Source organism: Homo sapiens, chromosome 7 (genome assembly GCF_000001405.40).
Source record: "Homo sapiens chromosome 7, GRCh38.p14 Primary Assembly".
NCBI lineage: Eukaryota > Metazoa > Chordata > Mammalia > Primates > Hominidae > Homo > Homo sapiens.
This window is the reverse complement of record NC_000007.14, coordinates 81,067,547-81,077,861: the sequence shown is the minus strand read 5'-3', so window position 1 is coordinate 81,077,861 and position 10,315 is coordinate 81,067,547. Positions and strand designations below refer to the sequence as shown.

At 42.2% G+C, this 10,315-nt stretch overlaps 1 annotated feature.

Annotated features, from left to right (window-relative positions):
- Positions 2,216 to 3,415: an enhancer, noted in NCBI's record as "CDK7 strongly-dependent group 2 enhancer chr7:80703763-80704962 (GRCh37/hg19 assembly coordinates)". NCBI's record gives its function as "activates an origin of replication core promoter dependent on BRD2, BRD4, P300/CBP, MED14 and CDK7 cofactors, with strong dependence on CDK7, by STARR-seq in HCT116 cells {active_cell/tissue: HCT116}" and the evidence as "EXISTENCE:reporter gene assay evidence [ECO:0000049][PMID:35650434]".

Sequence of the window (10,315 nt, the reverse complement as noted above, 5' to 3'; positions counted from 1 at the left end):
CTGTCTGCAAGCTCCCACTTCCTCAAGGGGTTTGAACTGTGGGGTGACAGAACAGGTGGGCCACACCTCTGTTGCACGTCCTGTGAGGGGAACCAAGGAACTCTCCCATTTCATAATGGTTGTCTATACCAGTGTTGACTCATCTTAAAAGCTGAAAATGTTTGCTAACCCATAGAGTATATGGTAGATTGTTTTATTTGTTTAGTGTGCTTCCTTTCTTTCCTTCTTGCCATGCTTCCCTTTAGGTAAATTTTTTAATGGCCTCGAGATAAACATGCTCTTATTCTCGTGTTATTTGGGAGAAAATATGGTCTTTGAAGAGTCAATTAAGAATCTTGAGTTTGGGAGATTATTTTGGGTAATCTTGTGTAGAGCCTTAAATGCCATGTATAAGAGGAAGACAGCAGGAGATTTGATGTGTACATACAAAGAAGTCAATGTGAAGACAAAGACAAAGGCTGGAGTGATGTGGCCACAAGCCTAGGAATGCTGACAGCCCTCAGAAACTGAAAGAGGCAAAGAACAGTTTCTTCCCTAAAGCCCCTGGAGGGATTGCTGCCCAGCCAACATATTGATGTCAGCTCCAGGACACTGAATTCAGACTTCTGTCCTCTGGAACTGTGGGAGAACAAATTTCTGTGATTTTAAGCCATCCAGTTTGTGGTAATTTGTTATGGCAGCTATAGGAAACTAATACAGAAACTACACTTTCCTGCTTCATTGATTTTGTACTTGGCCCTGTGACTTGCTTTGGCTAATGGAGTATGAGCAGATGTTTATAGATGTCATGTCCCAGCAGAAACTTTAAATGCTTTTTTTAGCTGCCTGTCTTATTCCTGTCCTCCTTCATTAGAACATATCCCAGGTAGAGGGATATCTGGAAACTTCAGTCTGAGTTTCAGAAAAAGAAACACATGGATTGAGGCCCAGCCAAGTGCAATCAAGCACAACCAAGCCAACAAGTTAAGCCAAGATTAGATGAACCTAGCAGAACTACAGCATATCTGGGCTGGGCATGCGGTGGCTCACGCCTGTAATCTCAGCACTTTGGGAGCCCGAGGAGGGCAGATCACAAGGTCAGGAGATCGAGACCATCCTGGCTAACACAGTGAAACCCGTCTCTACTAAAAATACAAAAACAAAATTAGCCGGGCGTGGTGGCGGGCGCCTGTAGTTCCAGCTACTCGGGAGGCTGAGGCAGGAGAATGGCGTGAACCCAGGAGGTGGAGCTTGCAGTGAGCCGAGATCTCGCCACTGCACTCCAGCTTGGGCGACAGAGCCAGACTCCGTCTCAAAAAAAAAAAAAAGAACTACAGCCTATCTGTGGTCCTCATGTAATGTGAACAAGAAATAAATATTGTCATAAAATATAAAGATTTTGGTGTTACCTATTGCTCCAGCCAAAGGTGAATAATAGTACATATCATCAACCGTTGATGAATATTGTACTCCCTCTTTTTGTTTTAATTTATTATTATTATTTTTTAAAATTATCCTTTAAGTACAGAGATGTTTTTTCTAATTAAATGTTGTCTTTCTGCTGCCATTCTCTAGTGTAATGAATATTCAGCATTCTCAAGATAATAGGCCCTGAAGTGCTTGAAGGAGAGTAATAATCATTTCCTAGTCTTCCCTTCTTTATCATAATTGACCCCAACTTTAAAAATATTCCCCAATTTTAACAATGTTTTATTATTCTGATAGTCTGGGATGGTAATATCTCTCTGGAGATGTGGAAACTCTACTCTTTATTTACATTTGTGACCATAACTAGACAGCTTAGTTTATATTCAAAGATATCTAAAAGACAACAGATGAAGCATTTCTTCACTTATAGCATATACTTTTCTTTCTTCATTTTTTTTGTTCCAACTTTCATTTTTCTTTTTCAGATCTCCACATTCAACAATTCTGATTCTTCCTAAAATCTATTTTCTTTTCCTTCAAAATTTATTTTTCAATTTCTGAGGTTGATTCCAAGTACATAGTTCTACTTTAATTCTTAAATTTTTACAATAAAAATGCATTAATCTTTTGTTGTTAAATATGCCTTGTGAAATACATGTGAGTGAATTTTACTTTTATTAGACATTTTTCACTGCTGATACATGGATTTGGGCATCTTTAACAGAGAAATCATGGGTAAGTAATGACAATTATTTTTAAGTGATCACAAAAGTTTATTGACTGCTTGTAGAGAACCATCCAGGAAAGACTAATTTCAGAAAGCTGGACAAAGAATCAGTGTTGTTGCGCAGGGTAGTATAGTTAATCTATATAAGAATATCCAGCCAAGAAGGAAAGGTGGGAGGTAAGCCTGCTTTGCCACTCACCAACTTTACCATGGAGTTGTACCCACATGGAGGGAAAATTAGTATCATTTTCTATTTTACACAAAGATTCCAGGCAGTCATCAAGATGTTCCACTGTGGACTGCATCCACCTGGAAGAGGAGCCAGAGAGCAATTAAGCAAGTCACGGTAGATCAGAAAGACTCTGACTCCAGAATTTGGAATGTACAAAACCAGCACTATTGAGTAGGTGGTTGATTCAGAATAGCTGCTATCTGACTTATTCTTTACATTTCCTTCCAGATGCAGATGTTCCACAGTCACAGGTACTCCTTATGGAGTGACTTCAGTCAGACGACCATTGTTCAATCTTGCTCCAGACTGAGGCAGAAATAGTCATTCTGTGGTAATCTCTTAGTCTCCTAGATGTACAGGAGAGTGAGGGCATAAATGCCCAGGGATACAGATCCATGAAACCCATGAGATTATATGTCAGGTCACGCCAGTGAATATTTTCTTATGGGTGAGGAAAACTTGTGACTTTACCTTTTAAGGTCAATGTCAGGTTAATGGCTTTCTTATTCCTCCCTTGTAGTATATAAGGAACTTCTCATTTTATTCAGGCAAAACAATAAAGACAAGGTCTGGGTTTTAGTCCCTGCTGCACACCATTCCAACATTGATCTTCATGGTCTGAAAAGCATGAGAATCAAATATTGTTCCGCTCAGAAAGTCCCTCATAGTGTCCCTCTTCACTGGCCACAAGGTTGACCTCAAGGATCATTGCTAAAATTCCCAAGGTCAGAGCCTTCTGGGTCTACCCTGCTCAGATCCTTCCCAAGGACCCTCAGGTGCACACATTCTTTGCTTCAGGGTGGCTGAGTTAATGCACAACCATCTCAATAATCACCAGGAGTCAAGTTAATCTCTTCTCTTCCTGAGTCAAAGGGCCTCCGACTTCTGCAAGGATCATCCACCCATGCAGCCTCAAAAATTTAGGCTTTTCAAATTAGATGCCTGGGAAAGATGCCTTCAGGGAGCTACTCCACCGTTTAGCCATAAACACAAGCAATTCATCGCACCTAAGACAGGAAAGCCCAGAACTCAGGTACATGTAGGTGGGAGTAACAATCACATTTAAATCTTTTTTGCTGATGAGAAAAAAGTCAATTATATATCCTACATCAACCATAATAATAATCATAATTATAACAGCATTCTGCTCCACTAAGTAACAAAACTGCTAAAAAAAACAGTGCAGTGAAAATAGCATTTGAAATGGGCTTTATGAGTGATATGTGCATGTGTACATTTAGGTTTGGAAAATATAATATTGCATTTTGAATTGGAATTTTGAATTTTTTGACAGTCTGCCAAATAAATAAGTCAAGTTCTATGAACTCAGCATGAGCTCCAAATTGAACAAAAACTAAGAATACATGAATACAGTAGGCATGTTAATAAAAATGGTTAGTTTCTTTTGCATTCTTTTGCAATGCTAAGCCATGGAATTTTTAAAAACAATTTCCAAGTTTGTGATGTGAAAGCATAAAGTGTGTTCATAAGTTACCTAGTAATGACAGAGGGACTGGAGGGAGAAATATTTCACATAGAGAACGTGTGTTGAATTTCACTAGGATATGTGTTGGATTTTTCACTGGTTTTTGCTAAATGCAACAACGTGTTCGCTGAGTAAAACCAGTGACGGAACCTTGAGTCAGTGGGGTTGTCAGACTGGGAGGGGCCAGGTGCTAGCTATTAATAGATCCCCTGGGAGCTGAGGATGGAAACAGGTGGCCAGGACAGGTTTCAACAGCAGCGAGTACAACGTCATCAACAAGAAAAACATGTTTTGGCAGGGAGACCCACCTCTCTGTGGCAGGCAAGGTTCTGGGAATAGGCCAAGAGTAACAGAGAAATCTCAGATAGGTGGAGGTTTTGTCAACTGGTTTTAAAGCCCAGACAAAATTCTCTCATGATGGAAAGCAAATAACACCAGTAATAATTTCTTCTTATTGATCACTTACTAAGTGCAAGGCATTCTGGTATTGTTAAAAAACAATCAAGTTGGTATAATTATTGCCATTTATAAATAAGGAAATTGAGACTCAGACAGGTACAGCAACTTGCTTAATATAGAGTAGTCAATGAGTAGGCTTATACGCTTTTTTTTTTTTTTTTTTTTGAGACAGAGTCTCGCTCTGTCGCCCAGGCTGGAGTGCAGTGGCGGGATCTCGGCTCACTGCAAGCTCCGCCTCCCGGGTTCACGCCATTGTCCTGCCTCAGCCTCCCAAGTAGCTGGGACTACAGGCGCCCCCCACTACGCCCGGCTAATTTTTTGTATTTTTTTTAGTAGAGACGGGGTTTCACCGTTTTAGCCGGGATGGTCTCGATCTCCTGACCTCGTGATCCGCCCGCCTCGGCCTCCCAAAGTGCTGGGATTACAGGCGTGAGATATGCTTCTAATTTAATCTGATCTTTTGAAGACTAGTGTCAAAGGGGCTAGGACAGGAGACATGTAATCAACTGAGGGGTCACATTTAAAGGTGTAAAATAGGGATGTGGTTACTACATATGAGCTACAAAGTGGAGGGGAAGAATGTTGTAAATTCCAAGCGCCTTTCTACTAAGCATCTCAAGGTTAATTTTCCAGCCCAAGAAGATCATGGGTTCTTCTCTCCCTGGCAGTAGAAGCTCTTTTTTTTCTTCTTTTTTTTGAAAGAGTCTCGCCCTGTCGCCCAGGATGGAGTGCAGTGGCGGCATCTCGGCTCACTGCAAGCTCAGCCTCCTGGGTTCACGCCATTCTCCTGCTTCAGCCTCCCGAGTAGCTGGGACTATAGGCACCCGCCACCATGCCCTGCTAATTTTTTGTATTTTTAGTAGAGACGGGGTTTCACCATGTTAGCCAGGATGGTCTCCATCTCCCGACATTGTGATCCGCCTGCCTCCGCTTCCCAAAGTGCTGGGATTACAGGCATGAGCCACCGTGCCTGGCCGAAGCTCTTTTATATAAAGTTGATATCTTCCATCATTCATGCCTTCATTAAGATAAAAATATAAATAAGATTGATTCAATGCATGCTTTTAAGGTGATACCGTGTCCGGAATTTGTGGGTTCTTGGTCTCACTGACTTCAAGAATGAAGCCATGGACCCTTGCGGTGAGTGTTACAGTTCTTAAAGGTGGTGTGTCTGGAGTTTGTTTCTTCTGATGTCCAGAAATGTTCTAAGTTTCTTCCTTCTGGTGGGCACGTGGTCTCCCTGGCTTCAGGAGTGAAGCTGCAGACCTTCCTGGTGAGTGTTACAGTTCATAAACGCAGTGCGGCCCCAATGAGTGAGCAGCAGCAAGATTTATTGCAAGAAGTGAAAGAACAAAGCTTCCACAGTAGAAAAAGGGATCCAAGTGGGTTGCCACTGCTGGCTTGGGCAGCCTGCTTTTATTCCTTTATCTGGCTCCACCCACATCCTGCTGATTGGTGCATTTTACAGAGAGCTGATTGGTCTGTTTTACAGAGAGCTGATTGGTCTGTTTTGATGGGTGCTGACTGGTGCATTTACAATCTGAGCTAGACACAAAAATTCTCCAAGTCCCCACTAGATTAGCTAGACACAGAGCACTGATTGGTGCATTTACAAACCTTGAGCTAGACACAGGGTGTTGATTGGTGTGTTTACAAACCTTGAGCTAGATACAGAGTGCTGATTGGTGTATTTACAATCCTTTAGCTAGACATAAAGGTTCTCTGAGTCCCCACTAGATTAGCTAGACACAGAGCACTGATTGGTGCATTTACAAACGTTTAGCTAGACACAGAGTGCTGATTGGTGCATTTATAATCCTCTAGCTAGACATAAAAGTTCTCCAAGTCCCCACAAGATTAGCTACATACAGAGTGCTGATTGGTGCATTTACAAACCTTGAGCTAGACACAGGGTTCTGATGGGTGCATATACAATCCTCCAGCTAGACATAAAAGTTCTCCAAGTCCCCACTTGACTCAGAAGCCCAGCTTGCTTCGCATAGTGGATACCACACCAGGTCCATGGGCGGAGCTGCCCGCCAGTCCCGCACTGCGTTCCTGCACTCCTCAGTCCTTGGGTGGTTGATGGGACCCGGCCCCGTGGAGCAGGGAACAGCGCTCATGGGGGAGGCTCGGGCTGCACAGGAGCCCACGGTGGTGGGGAGGATCAGGCATGGTGGGCTGCAGGTCCTGAGCCCTGCCCTGTGGGGAGGCAGCTGAGGCCCACGAGAATTCGAGCACAGCGCCAGTGGGCCAGCACTGCTGGGGAACCGGGGCACCCTCCGCAGCTGCTGGCCCGGATGCTAAGCCCCTCACTGCCTGGGGCCAGTGGTGCCAGCTGGCCGCTCCGAGTGCAGGGACCCGCCGAGCCCATGCCCACCTGGAACTCGAGCTGGCCCACAAGTGCCGCGCACAGCCCCAGTTCCTGCCCGCACCTCTCCCTCCACACCTCCCTGCAAGCAGAGGGAGCTGGCTTTGACCTCGGCCAGCCCAGAGAGGGACTCCCACAGTGCAAGCGGCGGGCTGAAGGGCTCCTCAAGCACGGCCAGAGTGGGCACCGAGGCTGAGGAGGCGCCAAGAGCAAGCGAGGGCTGCCAGCATGTTGTCACCTCTCAATACCTTCTCTCTGTAGGCCTTAGTAACAGCATGAGTGTAATGAGAGCATAATTTTACACTCTTTTCCTCAATCTTTACAAAGGGGCAGTTTCCTTCGCTCCTATCCATTGGACTAACTTGTCTCTTCAGGTGTCTCCCATTTGAACATCTGCTTTTATTTATCGTGTCGTCATAGACAAGAAGCTTATTTTTCATTGTATTTACTTATTTATAAAACTTTCAGAATAAGCAATTTTAAGCTCACATTGGTGAGACCATTGAATGTTATGAGTAGATTAAGAAAATAAATTATTGAAGATCTTGCATATTAATATCATTGAGAATGTCAAATTTTTAAACATATTTTATGGTATTGTTTATGTTTTGCCTCCAGACAAGTAATAATGACTGAGGAAGCAGGCATGTCTTATGTGACTGGCACAGGAGGAATAAAGTGAAGGGAGAAATGATACACACTTTTAAACAACCAGATCTTGTGAGAACTCATTATCATGAGAACAGCAAGGGGAAGATCTGCTCCCATGATCCAGTCACCTTGCACCAGGTCCCTCGTCCAACATTGGGGATTACAGTTTGACATGAGATTTGGGTGGGGACACATATCACTTGCACTTCCTCATTTGTTGCACTTATAGATTAAATTTTTATATATGGTTATGTATGCTACCTCATTTGCTACATTTGTAGATTAAAATTTATCAGAATTTTTGAAATATTCTTGCATCAGAAACTAAACCAGTAGTAAAAAATGAAAAGACTTATTTTCTTTAAATACTTAATTTACTTATTTCGTGCACACCTATTTTACATCATGTAAGCTAGCAAACATCACAACTGAAATTTAAAGGCAGATTTTCTTTGTGCTCATTATTTGTTTCAGCATAACCCCCCCCTTTTTTTTTTTTTTTTTTTGAGGCAGAGTCTCACTCTGTCTTCCAGGCTAGAGTGCAGTGGCAAGATCTCCGCTCACTGCAAGCTCCGCCTCCCAGGTTCACGCCATTCTCCTGCCTCAGCCTCCGAAGTAGCTGGGACTTCAGGTGCCCACCACCTCGCCTGGCTAACTTTTTCGTACTTTTAGTAGAGACGGGGTTTCACCATGTTAGCCAGGATGGTCTTGATCTCGTGATCCGCCTGCCTCAGCCTCCCAAAGTGCTAGGATTACAGGCGTGAGCCACCGCGCCCAGCCAGCATAATCTTTTTTAAAGCTATCTACTGGCCGGGTGCAGTGGCTCATGCGTGTAATCCCATCATTTTGGGAGGCAAAGGTGGGCCGATCTCGGGGTCAGGAGATCAAGACCATCCTGGCCAACATGGATAAACACCGTCTCTACTAAAAATACAAAAATTAGCTGGATGTGGTGGTGCATGCCTGTAATCCCAGCTACTTGGGAGGCTGAGGCAGGAGAATCACTTGAACCAGGGAACTGGAGGTTGCAATGAGCCGAGATCGTGTCACTGCACTCCAGCCTGGTGACAGAGCAAGACTCTGTCTCAAAAAAAAAAAAAAAAATATATATATATATATATATATATATATGTAGCTATATATATAGGAAGTGCAAATGATACGTATATATGTATAGCTACCTACCTACAGGAACTGGGAATCTACTTGGGTAAAGCAGAAGGGAGTGAGGAAAGAGTTGGAAGTGAAGAACCCATATCCAATTGGATGGAAACTCCAATCATGAATTTTCCTTACATCTTAAATACTCACATGACTCATTATGCTTTGAAGTTATTAGAATAGTATACTTCCTGCTTCCCACACTGGGATACATAATCCTTGAGTATTCTGCTATGTGCCAGGGAAAAGAAATGCCATTGAATAAAAGTTAGTAAAGAATATAAAGAGGCAACTTATGAAAAAAAGAAATAGAATGCCTTTGAAACATATCAAACGGTACTCAACCATGCTCTTAAGGAAACACAAGTTATGGCAATAATGTAATATGTTTCCTCAACCGTCAGATTGGTAAAGCTAAACATTTTCTAATGCAGTATCATTAAGAATGTAAGGAAACTGGAACTGTAACTTGATATATATCTTTGAAAAAAAGTCAATATTTATCAGACTACTAAGAGCACTTACTATTTAAAGCAGCAATTCTTCTGGGAATTTCTCCCATGATATATGAACACGTATGCACAAAGGCACACAAATAGTGAAAATATTTGCAATAATAAAAGAGTAGATACTTGTATTTTGTCAATACAGGACTAGTCACATATTTTAAAATCCATGTGTGCAAATGAATAATATTCAGTGCAAACACATAGATGCATTTATGTGGTAGACTTGTATGTGCTGCTAATGATATATCTTAAAGATTAAATGGAAAAACAAATAGTATGCAAATCAGTTATAGCACACAGATACATAGAATAATCTGGAAGCCTATGTAAGAATTTTTTAAAATATTATTGCCAGCAAGCATGGAAGGGGACTAAAATTTAGTGGTTAGAGATAGACACATTTCCATTATATACATTTTTGTCTTCTTGGATTTTTTTATTTTTACATTTACATGTATTTAATTTAAAAATAAACAATGCAAAACAAGATTCCACAATTAACAAACATTTATTGAGGCAGTAGGCAGAATTTTAAGATGGTCTCCAAGTTTCCTGTCCCCTGGTGTACATGTCCTGAGGCTAGTTATAGGCCTTAAGTACAGGTGAAGCTTGTCAATTTGATGGATTTAACTTCCACGATTAGGTTACATCAGAAGGTAAAGGTAAGAAGATTTTGCAGATGTAATGCAAGCCACTAATGAGTGGATTTTAAGTTAATCAAAAGCGATATTTCCTGGGTGAGCCTGACCTAATCAAATGTGACCTTTAAAAGAGGACCTAGAGGTCATAGAGATCTTTCCTGCTGGCCTTGAGGATGGCTATATTATGTGGGGGGCCTGTGTGGCAAAACTAGAGGGCAGCCTTTATCTGCTGAGAACAATCCCTGGCTGACACTTGACTGCACCTTTATGAGGCTCTGAGCAGAAGACCCAGTTAAGCTATGCCTAGACTCTTGACCCATGAAAACTAGAAGAAAATGAAGTGGGCAGTTTTTAGGGGCTAAGCCTGTGGTAAGTTTTTATGCAATAATATAAAATTAATACAACTGACTACTTACTATGTGTATGGCAGATGCATCTGACAGCAATAACTTAAGCATATCCGAGAATGACCCTGTGTGGCAGACACACCTAAATGTATGATCTGAGTTTTGAGCTAAGGAATCTGGGAGTGGCCAACCCGAAGATCCATTTTTTACCTATGACGAACACCTGGACCCCCTCCTTGTTCTATGGAACTCAGACTGTATGGAGATCCAGGCCTTTGTTTTGGAGTGGGGGGGGTAAATGAAGGTTGCCAGGTGGAAGTTGTT